Source organism: Homo sapiens, chromosome 1 (assembly GCF_000001405.40).
Source record: "Homo sapiens chromosome 1, GRCh38.p14 Primary Assembly".
Lineage (NCBI taxonomy): Eukaryota > Metazoa > Chordata > Mammalia > Primates > Hominidae > Homo > Homo sapiens.
In genome coordinates, this window is record NC_000001.11 from 35,712,157 (window position 1) to 35,730,416 (window position 18,260).

Below are 18,260 nucleotides of genomic sequence, written 5' to 3' on the forward strand. Positions count from 1 at the left end.
CAAGATCACACCACTGCACTCCAGCCTGGGCAACAGAGTGAGACTGTCTCCAAAAAAAAAGGCTCCTTATAAAAATTCACCCTCTTATGCTCTGAAGGTTTGACAGACATCTTATTGTCAGAAATCTCCATTCAAATTTAGCCTTAGCCCTTTGCCAAAACATCTCTTAGTAAGTGGAATTTGTAAAAATTGGTTCAATACTATTTCTGTTTAAGTGTCAAGTGTGGAGATGACAAGAATTATTAACTGTTTCAGTGAGAAGTATACTTTGTGAAGTTTAAAATAAATATGTTGCCAGGCACAGTGGCTCCCAGCACTTTGGGAGGCCGAGGCGGGCAGATCACGAGGTCAGGATATTGAGACCACAGTGAAACCCTGTCTCTACTAAAAATACAAAAAATTAGCTGGGCGCGGTGGCGGGCGCCTGTAGTCCCACCTACTCGTGAGGCTTAGGCAGGAGAATGGTGTGAACCCGGAAGGCGGAGCTTGCAGTGAGCCGAGATCGCGCCACTGCACTCCAGCTTGGGCAACACAGTGAGACTCCGTCTCAAAAAAATAATAATAATAAAATAAAATAAAATAAAATAAAAATGTTGGCCAGGCGCAGTGGCTCACACCTGTAATCCCAGCACTTTGGGAGGCTCAGGTGGGAGGATGGCTTGAAGCCAGGAGTTTGAGACCAGCCTGGGCAATATAGCAAGAAGCCATCACTACAAAAAACTTAAGAATTAGCTGGGTGTGGTGGTGTGTGCCTGTAGTCCCAGCTACTCAGAGGCTAAGGTGGGAGGATCACTTGAGCCCAGAAGTTCAAGGGTACAGTGAGCTATGATTGCACCACTATGCTCTAGCTTGGGCGTATCTTGGAGACGCTGTCTCCAAAAATAAAGAATCAAATCAAATAAAAATAAAATACAGTATTTCAGATTTGTGAATTTTGGTATCCCTGGGGATCCTGGAACCAATCCCCTCAGATAACAAAGGATGACTGTATATTATAACTACATGTGTGTCAAAACCATCTAAGGACCCGAAATCATAGTCATAGTCAGAGCGCCCTTCAGGGAAGTGATGACACCAGGGTACTTGGTGTTTTATTTTTTGTTTTATTTGGTTTTTTGAGATGGAGTTTCCCTCTTGTTGCCCGGACTGGAATGCAGTGGCACGATCTCTGCCCACTGCAACCTCTGCCTCCCAGGTTCAAGCGACTCTCCTGCCTCAGCCTACTGAGTAGCTGGGATTACAGGCACCCGTCCCCACGTCTGGCTAATTTTTGTATTTTTAGTAGAGACAGGCACCATGTTGGCCAGGCTGGTCTTGAACTCCTGACCTCAGGTGATCCACCCATCTCAGCCTCCCAAAGTGCTAGGATTACAGGTGTGAGCCACCGTGCCCTGCCCAGGGTACAGTTGAGTATGTACGAGTGTGTATGGTATGTGTCCCTCGCAATTCATTTAGGCCCAAAGGTGACACAGGACAAGGACAATCCCATATGGGGCTCTCAGGGTAGAAGTCAAGTCTCCCCTGTCACACTGGATGGCCCCTGAGAGACTTCTCCACCCCATTGGATCGCCAGGCACAGCAGTCTAAATTCTTCAGTGTCTTTCCCCAAAACCACCTCCCTAGCTCCTAGTCCAGGACCCTACTCAAAAGGGGAGCTCAGATGGTATGAAAAAGAGGCCATCAGACAACAGGTAGAAGAAAAACACATACTCAAGAAATGTAATTTTCTGCCCCAGTTTATTCATCTTGGGTTGGTCCAGAAGCCGGGTTTATACACTCAATATGCAAGAGCTACAGACAAAAAGTCTTCAGGGCCCACCCCTCACCCCCACTCTCTGGATCTTTCACCCATCCACCTGTCAGGGATGAAACTCTTTAGAGATAGGAAGAGCCCCCCACTTTGCCGATAGGGAGACTGAGGGCCAGAGGCTGCATCAGTGACTTCCATGCCACTGTTCACCCACCAGTGTCCCCTCTTCATACCACTGCTCACCCACCAGGATCTTGCATTCTCTTGGCTCCCAAGAACAAAGCAGAGAGCTAAGCTACCTTAGTCGTTGGTTCTCTCCAAGACTCACCCACTCTGTAACTCGCGGAGCCTGCCAATCCCTGTTTGAAGGGCCATGCAGTGAAAGAAGGGGTTAAAATTCAGCATCCTAAGCATCTCCAGAGGCTTAGGCTGACACTGTCCCCTTCACATCCCAGAAAGCCAACCTCTGGCTCCTCCTGACAGTCCGACTTCAGAGAAATGAACCAAACCAATTCAACATCCAATGCTGCTAAAGCCAGAGAGGCACAGCAAGGTAGAGGCAGAGACAGGGAAGCGATATTTTCCTCATCGGCCTTGGAACATCTTGTCTGTTACTTGCAAGCTTATAAACATACATTGCTTTTCATCAGAAGCTTAAATGAACACGGTTTGCAACAGCTCCTTTTCCAATGGAGAGATGGTTTGTTTGGGAACTGGTATTTTAGAATTCCCATTCTCCTATTCTTCACAGGGTTCCACTGTTATCATCTTTCCTGTCCCCATCTCCCATGTGCCCAAAGGCAGAGTTCAAGAGGGACAGTCCCCTATGTCCTCTGTCCCCATCCCCACCATCATCTTCATCACTACTCCTGGTTCCCTTTCCTGATACCAGTTCTCCACACACTGCCAAAATTGCAGCCAAAATTCCATGGCAGGCCAGAGCAGCCACTAAACCTCCTACAAGTAAAGCCAACATCAGGGACAATAGCCTCAGCTGAGCAAGTCTGGGTTAAGTGAGGGAAAGGGAAAGGAGAGGTGGCCTGGGAAATCCCAGGAGAATGGGTCAGCCACAACCTTCAGATAAATGACAGCATGCTAGCCCTCTGTCTCCAGGGAACAGTGGGACCCAGTGGAGAAGAAAGGCTGGGGTAGGCCATGAGGAACACAAGGTGTGGGTGGACACCCACAGTGCAGCTGGATATGTATTTGCACACACCTGCTCATGAGTCTGCCTACAAACACACATGCTCCTAACATACACCTCCCATGCCTGTGGCCAAACATGTGCACCCCTGCACACACAAGGGCTTCCTCACATACACCTAATACAAGCCTGCACACTCAAACTCACTCATAGACACACACATCTTCTGCCTATACATCCTCACTCATGCGCATATACACACACTGCTGGGTACCTGTCTACACATGCACATACCGAGTTCCTCATTCTTACATACTACACACACACACATATGTTCACTCTTACATGCTCACATATAGGTCTGCAGATAAATTAGCTGTGTGTACACATGTGCACACAGCACACTTAAGCTCATTTATACATGCTTATTCACACATGCCTACACACACCAGCCTACATGTTAGCACATACACACTCATGCCTACCTGCAATCATGCCAGCAAATTATGTACTTACTAGTGCGCCTCACACATGCCTGCAAATATATACATATACCCTTGCACACTTGTGGAGGCACACCCTTAGGCCTGGTCCTGGGGCCTGGATGGTGCTGCCCTCTGCTGGAGACAGCGAATAAGCTCCTTCCGGTTGTCTAGGATGGTGTCGAAGCTCTCCTGCAGTCGGGCCTGCTGGTCAATCAACTGATGCTGCAGGCCCCGGATCCACTGGAGCAGTGCCAGGCGACGGTACATCACCAAGTGCACGTGGTGCTTTTCCTTCTCCTGCTCTTTGTAGCGCTCCTGGACTTGTAAGTGCTGCACAGCCTGGGCCACTGAGGGCAGAAGGGGATCGGGAGGGCCAGGGCCTCGCGGGGTCCCACAGGCAGGCTCAGGACTGCTGCTACGGCTGTCAATGCTCAGGGAACTGCTGGCATAGCCGTTGTCCTCCAGAGGGGAGCAGACTGTGCCAGCACCACCCATCTTCTCAGGCTCAGCCCCGGGAATCTCTGCCCCCTCTGGGGGGCTGCGCACCCCTTCCTCAGGGGATCCAGGGGCCTGGAAGGCTTGGTTGTCAGAGGGTGACTCAGAGGAGCTCCTCCTCAGGATAGGTTCCACTCTGCCTGGCATCCCATGCCAATTCTCGTTAGCATCCTTGGCACTTGCCATGAAGTTGGAGTTGCTGTCTGGTTGGAGCTCGGGCTGACATAATCCAGGAGGTGGGTCCCCCAGGAATTGGCCCCCCTCAGCTAGCCCTGGCTGGATGGCGAACATCTAGCCTGTAAAGGGAAAGCAGGAGACCGAGTCACAGTAGGACAGGGTGGGGTGCCTGAAGTCAGGGCAACTTAGCTGCAGGGACAAGGCTGCAAGCAAGAGCCTGGCCACTCCCTGTCAAGCCCTTTCTCTTGACTCTGGTAACACTTCCCTTCGTGGTTTTCGTCCTCCCTGTCTACCTGTTCATTCTCAGTCTCCTGCAAAGGGTTTTTCCTCCGTCCTCAGAGCCAGGCTGTCTTCTGATTTTGTGCATTTCTCTCCAGAGGACCTCATTCTCTGCTGTAGCTTCAAAGACCATCATATGCTGGTGACTCTCAGATCTGTCTTCAGCCCAGATCCAACTGCTATCCAACCCTGCAACCAACCATAGTCTCCTCAAATTCTACATAACCAGTCCAGGCATGGTGGCTCATACCTGTAATCCCAGCACTTTGGGAGGCCGAGGCAGGCAGATCACCTGAGGTCAGGAGTTCGAGACTAGACTGGCCAACATGGTGAAACCCCATCTCTACTAAAAATACAAAAATTAGCCAGGCATGGTGACAGGCACCTGTAATCCCAGCTATTTGGGAGGCTGAGGCAGGGGAATCACTTGAACCCAGGAGGCAGAGGTTTCAGTGAGCCGAGATTGCGCCACTGCACTCCAGCCTGGGTGACAGAGTGACATCATCCCCCTCCACCACCGCCCCCCGCCAAAATTCTACATAACCAAACAAGCTCTCCTTCAGTATCCTCAGCAAGATGGCTCTGTACTCCATCCAGAAAGCTGAGAGCATCCTGGGGTCCTCACTATCCTTCCTTCTCCCATCTCATTAATAACCACATTCTGACCATTCTTCCTCTTCCAGGCCATTTCTGACCTGGATTATTGCCTCGGCCTTTTCACTGATCTCTCTGCCTCCAGTTAAAAATGTAAATTTCACTTGTCACCACTCCTAATGCCCTCCCTGAATTCCTGCTAAACCTCTACCTGGCCTACAACACCCTGTTTGATCTGGCCCCTGCTCACCCCTCCATACCTGCCTCTTGCCACTCTGCCCCTCCCATCATAGCAAACTGCCCAGAGATCTCAAAACACACCATTGTTTTTCTTACAGTATTCCTTTGGCCTACAATATCCTTCCTCTCCCCTCCCCTCAAAGCTCCTCCCTTCTCCACCCAGCAAATTCCTTTTTGTACTTCAAAATTAGCTGTAATATCCCCATGTTTCCATGTCCCCATGTCTCTGAAGCCGTCTTGATACTGCCCCAATCAATATTACATAAACAAGCACGGTTAGTTATGCCTTCCTCTGGGTCCCCACTGCGCTGGGTATACACTGTCTTATCCAACTTTGCATCCGTCCCTGGCATACATGGTCGACGATCAGTGAATGTCTATTCAACTGGCATTTTTGGTTTGTGGTAATGATCTTGTAATAGCAGTTTGTAATCTGGCTTGGACCTCCTGTATATATCCTCCATCATATTCCCCAGAGTCAGCCAGCATAGAGCCCTGAACCAGGCTGTCTGTGCATACAGGTACTTGCTAAGTGAGTGAATGGGAGAAGAGACTGCAGTGAATTTCCATGCTCAGGAATCCACTCTTGACTCCCCAGGGCTGGAAGAGCTGGGTTCTGGAAGAGCTGGGTTTGGTTCCCTTTCCTACCCCAGCCAGGGAGCCCCGCCTTCCCCAGTGACAAGCTTTTCTTCTGAGCCTGCCCCCTTCCCTCCCAATGCCTCTGGAACACAGCCACTATCTTGCGGTCCCCGTCCCTAGCTTGCTCCATTCTGAGGCCCTGGAGGGAGGGCATACCACACCACTCTTCTCTCCTCCATAACCTGCTTCTAACCAAAATTAGGATTTGAACTGACAAAGGGATTCTACTGACCAAACAGCACTGGGATTAGAACAATTGAAGAGCATGAAGAGGAAGGGTATTGTAAGTGGAGCCGGCACTGGAAGGCGCTCCATAGGTGGCATGGACCCTCCCCACCCCCAGCAATGGGCAGAGAAGTCCTGGGGAGAAGGGTGTAGGAACAGTTCGTTTCTAATCGCCCTCTAAGCAAGGCTTGTGGGAAGGTGCCTAGAGATCTCCCCTCGCCCCAATTTTTTATTTTTCCTATACTTGGATGGGGCCGTGAAGGAAGCTGGGATGGGGTGGGGGTGGCGCTAGGGATCACAGGGTTCTCAGAGATAGTAAAATGAGAACCCCGACACGCCAGGACTAGGTCTCCGCCCAAACAGGAGGCAGCCTCCTTTTCTGGCCTTGCGGGAGTGGGAGACCACCCCAGGAGACAGAGACCATCCTTCCCTAGTCTCCTCGAAGGAGGCCACTGTGACTCCCCGCTTCCCGCGGCTGAGCCCCAAGCCCCACCCCGCCTCGGGCCCCAGACTCGGACTCACGGCGTAGAGGCGCCCGCTCCGGCGCGTCTGGCTCTGGCTCCGCCCGGCCCTGGTGGTGTCTAGTCCCTGGGCTGGGGGTTCCTCGGCCTGGGCGTCTCCGCGGTCCAGGCGTGGGTGCGGGGCTCCCGGGCAGCGCGCCCAGCCCCAGTCCCGGACTGCGGAGTCAGGCGGCGTCTGCGCAGCAGGGCGGAGCGACCGGTCCCACGTGGGCCGGTTCGGTTTTCCGCGGAGCCCCGCGCCAGGCCCCTGCGCCGGAACCGCTTCGCCCCCGCGCGGGGCCGCGTTGACCCAGGCCTTCCAGGTCCGGTGCTCTCTCCTATTGGCATTCGCTGGGCCCTTCCCATCAGTTAGCCTCGCTGCAGACACCGTGCCATTTTCAAGTGAAATCTGATTAGTCACCACCTTCCGGCGTTAAACTCCTCAATGGCTTCCCCACCGCCGGGACAACCCCTAAGGCGGTAGCCGCGGGGCTCTGTGCGTCCTGCCCTTCGTCTGCCTCTCCGGCTTCGTCCTCTACCCTCCCTCTCCGCAGTTACCCTCCCACACGCCCCTTTCCGCCACGCGGCTTTGGCACGCACTGTTCCCTCGGTCTAGCATTCTCTTCCCCCTCTCGACTTACTCCTATTTCAGATCTCTTCTCGGAGAGATCTCTGACTCCCTAGATCACGTTCGTTCCCCCCTTTATGTCAGAGCACATTCCTTTTCTTCATAGCATTTATCACAATTTGGAATTATATATTCCTTTTTGTGCTTACTTGACTAAAGTCACTGAGGCCGGGTGCGGTGGCTCACGCCTGTAACCCCAGCACTTTGGGAGGCCGAGGCGGGCAGATAACCTGAGGTCAGGAGTTTGAGACCAGCCTGGCCAACATGGTGAAACCCCATCTCTACTAAAAATACAAAAATTAGCCGGGCTTGGTGGCGGGCGCCTGTAATCCCAGCTACTTGGGAGGCTGAGGCAGGAGAATCGCTTGAACCTGGGAGGTGGAGGTTGCAGTGAGCCAAGACTGCACCACTGCACTCCAGTCTGGGCAACAGAGTGGGACTCCGTCTCAAAAAAAAAAAAAAAAAAAAAAAAAAAAAGAGAGAGAGAGAAAGAAGATCCAAGCCTGGGACAGGGCTCAGGGCTGATGTCCTGTACCCGGGACGGGGGCTCTCCGCAGGACACAGAGCCCACCCATGATGCCTGTGAAGTGGGTACCAGTGCTTTTGCCCAGGTGAGGAGGAACAGCGTGATAAAAAAGGGTCTTGGGTTCCAAACTCCAGTGGATTCTTCTCAGAGCTCCACTCTACTGAAGCTTGACCCCCCTCACTCTTTTGCACCCTGGGGAAATGTGAAGTTGGGGGCCCTGTTTGGAATAAAAGAGAACAGAGTTCAGTAATTGCTGACCCTAATATATGAGGTGCCCTCTTCCAGTTTCAATTTGATTCCAAGTCACCATTCTGCAACCTAGAGACTAATTGGCAAATTAAATCACACCAAGAAATCCTATATGCAAAAACAGGGAAAATGGAAAAGAAATTTTTATGATTATGATGACTATTTTAAAAGGGAAAAGGAAATAAGAAGGAGAAGGCAGAAGTAATTCAAACTTTGCACACTCCTCCAGCTAAGAAAATACAGGTGGAGACGTCAGCCCCATTTCTACATCAGATCCTGTGGCCTAAGTCTTCTCCCTTCCCTTATCCACTTCAGGTTCCCCTGGCCTTCAGCCTGGGGTGACCCAAATCCTCACTTTTTTTTTTTTTTTTTTTTTTTTTGAGATGGAGTCTCGCTCTGTCGCCTAGGCTGGAGTGCAGTGGCGCAATCTCGGCTCACCGCAACCTCCACCTCCCGGGTTCAAGCGATTCTCCTGCCTCAGCCTCCTGAGTAGCTGGGATTACAGGTGCATGCATCACGTCAGCTAATTTTTGTATTTTTAGTAGAGATGGGGTTTCACCATGTTGGTCAGGTTGGTCTTGATCTCCTGACCTTGTGATCCACCCACCTCGGCCTCCCAAAGTGCTGGGATTACAGGCGTGAGCCACCATGCCTGGCCCAAATCCTCACTCCTAAAGGCTCTCAGCTTTGGTGATCTAGGGTTATGCAGTTCTGCCCAGACCACAGAGCCATAAAGTCATCAATTGTTTGTTCTGCCCAGAATAGCCCTTCTCCGCCTCTCTTTGGACTCTGTCTCTCCCAGCTTAACCATGTGGGTCAAATGAAAGCCTGAAGAATCCAGGGATAGGAGCTCCACTCCAGGTGAGCCAGTCAGAGTCCTTCTCTGGGATCTTCTGAAACGAAATTAAAGGAAGACGAGGCAGGGAAGAAACAGAGATGAGAGATAGTTCTGATAATGTTGCAGACCCTGTTTCCTGCATCTAAACTTATAGTTTTGTATGCCTTATTTTGCCAAGCCTAACTTGAGTGGAATTTCTTTCACCGACAATTGAAAGAATGCTGATTACTACAATAGCACAAGGTGGTGACCCCAGGGTCTCTGGGTTCCATTCACGCACCTCTCAACACTTATTAGGTAACAGTAACTCCCTTTCTCCTTGGTAGCCATGATCAGTCCAGTCTACACTGAGACCACCCCCTTCTCCTATTCCTCTAGTGCTACCAGGAGCCGAAATCCCAGGGAATCATCTTTGTGTTTCTTGGTTAGAAGAAACATTCCTCCCATGATGCTATCACCATGTTTTGTTTTGTTTTTTTCCCAAGACAGAGTTTCACTGTCACCCAGGCTGGAGTGCAGTGGCGCGATCTCAGCTCACTGCAACCTCCGCCTCCCAGGTTCAAGTCATTCTCCTGCCTCAGCCTCCCGAGTAGCTGGGGTTACAGGCGCGTGCCACCACACCCGGCTAATTTTTGTATTTTTAGTAGAGACAGGGTTTCACCATGTTGGTCAGGCTGATTTCAAATTCCTGACCTCAAATGATCTGCCCGCCTTGACCTCCCAAAGTGCTGGGATTACAGGTGTGAGCCACTGTGCCTGGCCGATGCTATCACCTTCTGACCTGCAATACCCAGAATCTCAGAGACAGGAAGAAAACTCTTAGTCCTTAGGTAAATCATATAAGGTGCCACAACCACCGCTACCTCTTCTTGTTATGCATTCTGGCCACAAAGGACAAAGCATTATATACATTGATTTAAAGCCTATATTGGGCCTGGTGTGGTGGCTCACACCTGTAATCCCAGCACTTTGGGAGGCCGAGGCAGGCGGATCACTTGAGGCTGGGAATTCGAGACAAGCTTGGCCAACATGATGAAACCCCGTTTCTACTAAAAATACAAAAATTAGACAGGCATGGTGGTGCGCGTCTGTAATCCCAGCTATTCAGGAGGCTGAAGCAGGAGAATCGCTTGAACCCAAGAGGCAGAGATTGCAGTGAGCCAAGATCGTGCCACTGCACTCCAGCCTGGGCGATAGAGTAAGACCCTGTCTCAAAAAAAAAAAATTAAAATAAAATAAATAAAGCCTATATCGTGCTCTGCAGGGCAGCACCCCAGCCTGGAATAGCTGAGTCATCAATTCCATTGTTCTAAAAAGCTAGTTATTCCTTTTTTTTTTTTTTTTTTTGAGATGGAGTCTCTCTCTGTCACCCAGGCTAGAGTGCAGTGGCATAGTCTTGGCTCACTACAACCTCCACGTCCTGGGTTCAAGCAATTCTCCTGCCTCAACCTCCTGAGTAGCTGGGACTACAGGTGCCCGCCACCTGGTGAATGTTTGTATTTTTAGTAGAGGCAGGATTTCACCATGTTGACCAGGCTGGTCTCAAACTCCTGACATCAGGTGATCTGCCTGCCTTGGCCTCCCAAAGTGCTAGGATTTCAGGCGTGAGCCACCACACCTGGCCTAAAGCTAGTTATTCCTAAATAATACAATACCTGCTAAGTCAAGTGAATTCATTTAAAGGAAATCAGATTGTAGTCTCTCTCTTTCTTTTTTTTTTCCCTGAGACGGAGTCTTACTCTGTTGCCCAGGCTGGAGTACAGTGGTGCAATCTCCATTCATTGCAACGTCCGCCTCCCAGGATCAAGCGATTCTCATGCCTCAGCCTCCTGAGTAGCTGAGACTACAGGCGTGTGCCACTGCACCGGCTAATTTTTGTATTTCTAATAGAGACAGGGTTTCACTATGTTGCCCAGGCTGGTCTCAAATTCCTGGCCTCAAGTGATCTGCCCACCTCGGCCTCCCAAAGTGTTGGGATTACAGGCGTGAACCACCACACCCAGCCTGTAGCCAGTTTTGTTAATCAAGGGCAGTGTTGTATGGAATATTCTAGCACTGTATAATTAATACAGTCAGTGCTCACACAGCAGTCCTGGTCACTCCATAATTTTCAGAGCTCAAAACCTGAAGAAAAAAAAGCTCCAAATGCAGGGATGTCCATGTCCACAGGAAGACAAAAAAGCAGCTATAGAGATGCCTGTTATTCATTTGCCAGAGGCTTTTCCAGTGAGGACACCAGAGAATAATTCACCCCCAAGTGAAAGGGTATCTGTGGCTGGGTTCACCTACCCACATATATGCCAGGAACTTAAGTGGCAAGGACACAGAAACCTCCAGAGATGGCCAGTATCAGCCTGAACAGGGCTTTGCAAAAGGCCATGCCATCAAGACCCAATGATGGACAGCGGGTAAGCCTCTTGGCAAACAGATGTCAGAGCCAAGAGAGGCTAGCAGTGAGTAGCCAGATCCAGGTCCCAGGGCCTGGGGTGTCAGGCAAGGAGACCAGAGAAGATGAGAGGAATTTCTCATCCAGGAAATAGGACAGGCCTAAGGGTTATTCATAGGTGGATAATTTCTCAATATCAGTATTCTCAGGAAGAAAGGGGTGGGTAAGATCAAGGTGTTTCAGCTTCAAAGACCTTGTCCCTTCCCACCCATTCATTTACATGTATCATACAGTTACAGAGTGCTTACTTTGTGCCAGGTACTGTGTTGGGAATTCAGAGCAGAATCAGAACTGGTCGTGGTCTTGGGGAGCTCCTTGTTTAGAAAGGGAAACAGAAGTCATGGTGTGTTGGCTCATGCCTGTAATTCCAGCACTTTGGGAGGCCGAAGCGGACAGATCACTGGAGGCTAGGAGTTTGAGACCAGCCTGATCAACATGGTGAAACCCCGTCTCTACTAAAAATACAAAAATTAGCCGGGCATGGTGGCACACGCCTGTAATCCCAGCTACTTGGGAGGCTGAGGCACGAGAACTGCTTGAACTTGGGAGGCAGAGGTTGCAGTGAGCCAAGATCACACCACGGCACTCTAGCCTGGGTGACAGAGCCAGACCCTGTCTCAAAGAAAAGGAATAGACAGAAGAGTGGGCTATAACAATGTAATGGGCCCTGCAACAGAGCCAGGAGGCAAAAGTAGTAAGCCCAGAAAAGGGTAAGGAAAGGCTTCACAGAGGTGATTTTTTTTATTTTAAGAGATGGGAGTCTTGCTATGTTACCCAGGCTGGTCTCGAACTCCCAACCTTAAGTGATCCTCCCACCTTGGCCTCCCAACATTCTGGGATTACAGGCATGAGCCACTAAACCCAGCTAGCACAGAGGTGATATTTGAGCCAGGCCTTGAGGGATGAATAAGAGCTCACCAAGAGAAAGCAAGAGAAGGCATAGGAGACTGCATTTTCAGAGTGAGTTCAGGAAACACCCCGTAGGCCAGTGTGGCTGGAGCTCGGTGGGAAATGGAGGTAAGGTGAGGCTAGAAGATAAAGTTGGCCCAGTTGTGAAAGTTCTTGACACCATCCCAAGGAGCTTGGGCTCCATCCTGGGGACAGCAGGGAAGTAACTGAGGAAGCCCTCAGAGTTTCCATATCAGAACAAAGCACGATCCTGGATTACAAACTACGTTGCTAACCTGCTTTCTTCTCTCTTCCTGAGGTCACATCATCTGTCAACTTCCCCACATGGCTTTGGGAACTTAGGCAAATCAAATCATTTTAACCTTTTTGGGCTAAATAAAATAATATGCCTTAAAAATTGTTCAATAACATAGTGGTGAACATTGTCACTTGGGCTCCCAAGACCAGGCACAACCCCAGAGGACCTTTGACATGCCAAAGAGCCATTAAGGCAGATTGGAACGAACATTATTCCCCAGAATTGGTTCATCTTGGGAAAGGAAGGCCTAGGAAGCTGATGACCTACTTGTTTTGTTCATCCATTTCTCTACTGCTTCTTAAAGGTAAAGTGCCTCTTTAGTCTATCAAGAAATTACTATGTGTTTACCTTAGGTAAAATATGCCCATTCCCCTATCTTCCATTTTGGCTGTTTTCCCAGCTGTAAAATGACAAGGCGGTACATTCAATTAGAAGTTTTAAAGCATTTTTAGAGCCTTGAAGTAATTTCTTTTTCCTCAACAAAATCTTTCCAATATATCCAGTTTGAGATCTGTCTTCCCCTAAACCCTCCACCTAAGGGCTCCGAGGGAACTTCAGAGAAGCTTTTAAAAGTTCGGCAGGGCACAGCTGCAAATCCACTGCACCAGATGAACCTAGGAAATGAATCCTCCCCCTGTCCCCAACACTGTTCCCCTTCTCACCCACCCCTTCCAAGGGAAAAGGGAGAAACAGGTCTTTTCGGAGCTGCTGGAAGAATGAAAGGTAATATAAATTCTTTCTCTCCAGTGCACTCAAGCGGTCACCAGGACATCAGAAAAGCCAAATCCAAGGTCCCAAGGCTCTTGATCATCCAGTGCCCACAACAGAGGGAGTAAGCTAGACGGAGAAGCTGAAGTGAAGGAGGAAAGAGAGAAGGGGGTGCCTGTTCCACCCCCTTCCTAGCAGCTGCCTCTGTGGGCTCCATAATCCCCATGCCCTCTCCCCCACCCCACCCTCCGGCCGCCCACCTCTCCTCCACCCACCCCATTCATCAGTAGGAGGGCACTGTATCAGCACAGCCTTTCAAGGCCTGACAGTTCCTTTCTGGGTGCCCCCCACATGTAACCACTTAACCCCCAGCACAAAGGGCCAGCCTGAATGGGCTTGGAGCCGGTGGCTCGTGCGGAGGGGGAGGCCTCAATAGGATTTGGGGAGCTGGGTGTATAAACCGCTCTGCTCCAGCAGCCCTCAATGGAGGAGCTGGAGTTGGGGCATGTGCCGAGGGGAGGAGCTCGGCAGCTGCATCCCGCCCCTGAACAATGATTTATTCATTCTCCTGGCACGCACAGAGAAGACAGGCTGGGGAAACATGGCCCCACAAATCGCCCTCAGCCTCAGCTGATTCCCACGGCAATCATTGCAGTTCAGAGTGCCCCCTCCCACTTGTAATGTTTTGCCTCAAGCTTGCCCTTCCTCTTCCTCGTAAGGAAGTAGACTACATTACGGGAGGCCTTAAGTAGCCTTAAATTCAGGCAAGCATCGTTCTTTGAGTTGGTTGCACCCAAACTCAATCTCACTCTCTCAAAGCTTTCTGGCCAGGTTTTCCTCACACACCCATAGAAACAGATGCAGACAAAAAAAAAAAAAAAAAAAAAAAGCGCATAGCAAAACCTGTCTCCAGGATGGCCCCCAGCAGGGAGTTGGGGAGCTTAGCCTAGAAGTAACTGACAGGTGATGGGAATGTAGTAAATGTTTGCTGGATGAGTTAATGGCTGCTAACAAAAGGTAGTATGCTTGCTGCTGTCACTCCTCTTCCCAGACCCTTTCCTCCTTCTTGTAGTCACATCCATCTGGCTCCAATTCCCAGAAGAATCTCTTAGAAATCTTTGGGGATGAGGGGACAGAATGAAGACAGGTAAGCAAAGATGCTAAAACCTGTAAATAAACAATGCTGGGTGGTGGTGGTGGGGGTGCGGTTTCAAGAAGTCAAATTGTGACAAAAGGAAATTTGCTCTCGCCCTCTTGCCTCCATATGTCATGTCACCAGGGCCAGATCACACACACACATCATCATAATAAATAAAACTGAAAATCAATACCGTTAGCAGAACAGGGAGAGCCAGAATGAAGTGACCATCCTCAGACTGGCCCCTGGGCCTACTGGCCCCAAGCTTGTAATTACCTTGTCACACAGAAAACAAATCTATTGTGGGTGGTAAGTGTGAGAGGTGGGGGATCCCAGGCACGGAGCTTGCCGGACGAGGAGCAGGGGAAGGGGCACAGTAGGAAGACTGATTGGCCTTCAGTGATGGTGGTACAGGAGCTTGAGACTAACAAAACTAAGGCCTGGACAGTTTAAGAAAGTTTTGTTGTTTTAGTCAGGAGGGTGAACACCCTAAGGGAGGTGATCCTGCCCAATACTGGTGTGGGGCGTGAAGTTGCCGGGGAAAAGGCTTCAAGCCCACTCCTGGAGCCTCAGAAGGGCAGGTGGCTAGGATGCTGCTGCCCTCTGGTGGGCATAAAGAGACAGTATCCACACCTCCAACGCTGGAAATCCATTGCAAAGGAGTCTCCGTTCTTTGTTGTTCTAAAGGCTTGGCCACCAGGACTAGTGCATTCATAGCTTGGATTTCCCAGGAAGCCAACTCTGAGACTGTTTAATGTGCTGGATGTTTATTAAGAACCTCCTTTGGGATCAACAGCTGTGGAAGAATGAGAATGAGCAGGAGTGGCCAGAGGAAGAGGCTGATCTACAAGACAAGCCAGTGACAGCCTCAGCCAACCCCACAGGGAGCTCTGAAGCTAGAATGGCCCTTCAGAGTTGACCCAAAATAAGCTAAGAAGGCCAGGCCGTTACACACCTGTTGCCATTGAATGTGGGCTATCCTTGACCTTGGGCAAGGTGCTCTCTGAGGCAATTCCCACCCTGGAAGACTGTCTGCATAGTGCTTCCAACAGCTAGGCCAACAAGGCCTTCATGGAAGGGTCCACCCTCCACACCATAACTCATCAAATATTTGTCAAAGGAACAGCAGGTTTAGATCATGCCTCAGGCTGCAGGCTCAGTTGGGACAGTCTACAAGTCTCAGTTACCGGGGCTGTTATGCACTGATCCTTGGAAACGGTGAGGGGGGCCTTAATGCTCAGATTCATGGATTCATTCATTCAACGAGCATTTGTTGAGATTTACTCTGTGCCAGGCCTTGAGGCAGACACTTTACAATTTTTTTTTATTTAATCCTCACAACTGTGAAGCTAGTATTAACTCAGATTATTCAGATGAGATCAAGTTATTAAGTAGCTTTCACAGTCCAATGACACTTTGAAAAAAATGCCACTCACAATGGGACAAGTGCTATTGCTGCCGCCAAAGATTTCTCAGGCCAGAAAGGGTCTTGGCTGTCTTCTGTGTGTGTGCATATGTGTATGAACTGGATGGCTTGCTTTCTGCTTTCAGCCAGAACATTTCCTCTATGGCAGCCAAGAGCTATGCCTCAATAGCCTCCTGCTTTAATTCCTTCCTAAAAATGTTGCTGCTCAAGGTAACAAAACCACAAGCTTTTTTTTTTTTTTTTTTTTTCTTTTGAGGCAGTCTCACTCTGTCACCCAGACTGGAATGCAATGCTGCAGTTTTGGCTCATTGCAGCCACAACCTCCAGGCTCAAGTGATTTCCTACCTCAGCCTCCCAAGTAGTTGGAACCACAGGTGCATGCCACCATGCACAGCTAATTTTTGTATTTTTTGTAGAGATGGGGTTTCGCCATTTTGCCCAGGCTGGTCTCAAACCCCTGAGTTCAAGCAAACCCCCCACCTCAACCTCCCAAAGTGCTGGGATTACAGGCATGTGCCACCATGCCTGGCCCAAAACCACAAGTTTTACAAATTCCTGGTTGTAGCTACAGAGCAAGCCACCATTGCCCAAAAGAAAACTGGGCTAGCTCCTTCCCTGGATAGTCAATGGAGAGACAGCCCTGGATCCTCAGTGTTCTTTTAGCCATTTGATCATCAGAAAGTTGATGATAAGTTCTTCCCTAATGTCTAACCTCCATATTTGCTGCAACTCTTTGGAACAATAACATTGAAGGGACAAGAAGCACAGGTTTCTGTTTCAGAAAACTCTCAGTACCCTGCACCTCTCACTAACCTGCCCACTCTGTGTAAGGGACTGAGGGCTGGAAAGATAGAGAAAACTGTCAGCTGCTGTTCTTCTATAGCCCTGATGGGTTCTAATCCTTGGTCAATTAAGACATCCAGCAACCAACATGAAGATTTTAATTTTCTCATTTAGATTCTAATCATAAAGAACTTGAAGGAAAATGAAGGAGGGAGTATGCTTGGAAGTCATGGAACAATTTCTGGGTCTAACTACAGAGACATTCACTCAACCTCACCCTCCCCTCAAACACACACACACACACACACACACACACACACACACACACACACACACACACACACACACGCCTTTCCTGCTGGGCCCCCAGAACCTAATTTTTCACGTTTGGAAAACCCAGATGATTTTTGCCTAGGTCCATCTGGTTTTCCAAATAACCTGTCTTTTTGATAAATAACGTAAGTTAAATTAGACAAGACAAACAAACAGAAGGGTGGGCAGTCAGCCTTTTTCCTTCCTTCAGCCTCTGAGAAAAAGAGATGAGGGCCAAAAAACCCAAACCACGGCTCACTCCCAACCCTGCCTCAGCACTTTCTACCCCTTGGACTAGGCAATAATTCTCCAGCCTGGAGCTGGGAGCTGCCTCTTCAACCCTACATCTAGCCCACCAGCCATCAAGAATTCCGCGGACTACGGTTCTCTCTAAAATGAAGGGAAGGAACTCAGGTGTCCACCCCAACTCCTTCCAATCACCCTTAGGCTGTAGCTACTTCAAACTCCCTTTTCCCATTATGAATCCCACCACAGGGTAGAACTAAATCAATAAACTGAAAATGAAAAACCTTTAAGGTGAGAGGAGAGAGGACAAAAAGAGGGGATGGGAAGGACGTGGATGGTACAGACCAAGACAATAAAACTACTGGGGACAGAAACCAGGCACCTTGGTCTCAAAAGGTAAAATCTGAGGTGACACCAGCCATACACAAGCCACGTCTATCTCCCCAGTTCACTGGAGTCCAGGCATACACACAGGCCTCCATTTCTACTGCTATAACAAGTCTCAGCACATAGCTAGCCACCAATGGTGGACTATGGAGCTTTGTTGGGGCTTGGCTTCTCCTTCCCACTCAGCTCTACCCATTCCTCAGCAGTGAGTTAGCCTGCATTAGTGCAGCCTCTTAAATATGTACATTCACTTCACATTAATTTGTACCTTTGATCCTAACCATACCCTGTGAGCTAAACCAAGTCATTTCACATGAGCCCCATTTTCCAGTTGAGGAAAAAAGAGACTGACTTACCCAAAGTCATGATGCTTACAAGCTGCAGAAAGAGCAAGGACTAAAGCTCTACACCTCTATTCTGTCCTGCACTAGAAAGCTCCTCTGTATATAATTCAGCTCTATGCTTTTCACCATTAGCTCTTCCAGGCCTCCCATCACTCATTGCTCAAAAAATTCATTGAATTATTTTATGTGCCAGGCATGGTGCTACCCAAAGCATACATTTTTCAACAAAACGGATATGCTCTGTTTTCACAGCACTTACAGTCTAGTAGGGAAAGCAAGCCTCAACGAACATTAAAGTAACACATCATGATGACAGACCCAAAAGAATGGGAAACCTAAGGCTGGGTGTGGTGGCTCATGCCTATAATCCCAGCACTTTGGGAGCCTGAGGTAGCTGGATCACTTGAGGTCAGGAGTTCGAGATCAGCCTGGCCAACATGGTGAAACCCCGTCTCTACTAAAAATACAAAAATTAGCTGGGCACTAAAAACACA

The 18,260-nt window shown here is 49.4% G+C and overlaps 2 protein-coding genes across 3 annotated transcripts in view, besides 4 other annotated features; both read right to left on the bottom strand.

Moving 5' to 3' along the window:
• Nucleotides 1-1,720: 1,720 nt before the first annotated feature.
• On the bottom strand, nucleotides 1,721-6,728 carry C1orf216 (chromosome 1 open reading frame 216). Of its 2 annotated transcripts, none has more exons than NM_152374.2 (2): nucleotides 6,551-6,728; nucleotides 1,721-4,170 (listed from the first exon to the last, which is right to left on the bottom strand). In NM_152374.2, the coding sequence occupies exon 2, from the start codon at nucleotides 4,163-4,165 to the stop codon at nucleotides 3,476-3,478; it is 690 nt and encodes a 229-aa protein (NP_689587.1). In that variant the 5' UTR covers nucleotides 4,166-4,170; nucleotides 6,551-6,728; the 3' UTR covers nucleotides 1,721-3,475. The 2 variants fall into 2 exon arrangements, with proteins under 2 accessions (NP_689587.1, NP_001335620.1); NM_001348691.2 differs by lacking the exon at nucleotides 6,551-6,728 and adding an exon at nucleotides 4,345-4,755.
• Nucleotides 3,352-3,646: an enhancer, noted in NCBI's record as "tiled region #7840; HepG2 Activating DNase unmatched - State 12:CtcfO, and K562 Activating DNase unmatched - State 25:Art". NCBI's record gives its function as "activates a minimal TATA promoter and a strong SV40 promoter by Sharpr-MPRA in HepG2 and K562 cells {active_cell/tissue: HepG2 | K562}" and the evidence as "EXISTENCE:reporter gene assay evidence [ECO:0000049][PMID:27701403]".
• Nucleotides 6,460-6,889: a silencer, noted in NCBI's record as "silent region_645". NCBI's record gives its function as "represses an Ori minimal core promoter by ATAC-STARR-seq in GM12878 lymphoblastoid cells {active_cell/tissue: GM12878}" and the evidence as "EXISTENCE:reporter gene assay evidence [ECO:0000049][PMID:35858748]".
• The window catches only part of CLSPN (claspin), a 49,766-nt gene continuing 39,562 nt past the window's right edge, over nucleotides 8,057-18,260 (bottom strand). Inside the window, exon 25 of the mRNA NM_001330490.2 lies at nucleotides 8,057-8,824. Coding sequence (NP_001317419.1) covers nucleotides 8,735-8,824 — 90 coding nt within the window. The 3' untranslated portion in view covers nucleotides 8,057-8,734. The remainder of the gene's footprint in view (nucleotides 8,825-18,260) is intronic.
• Nucleotides 8,552-8,846: a silencer, noted in NCBI's record as "tiled region #10959; K562 Repressive non-DNase unmatched - State 15:Elon". NCBI's record gives its function as "represses a minimal TATA promoter and a strong SV40 promoter by Sharpr-MPRA in K562 cells {active_cell/tissue: K562}" and the evidence as "EXISTENCE:reporter gene assay evidence [ECO:0000049][PMID:27701403]".
• Nucleotides 13,602-13,785: a silencer, noted in NCBI's record as "fragment chr1:36191359-36191542 (GRCh37/hg19 assembly coordinates)". NCBI's record gives its function as "represses an EF-1alpha promoter that drives an FKBP-Casp9 reporter gene in an ReSE screen in HepG2 liver carcinoma cells {active_cell/tissue: HepG2}" and the evidence as "EXISTENCE:reporter gene assay evidence [ECO:0000049][PMID:32094911]".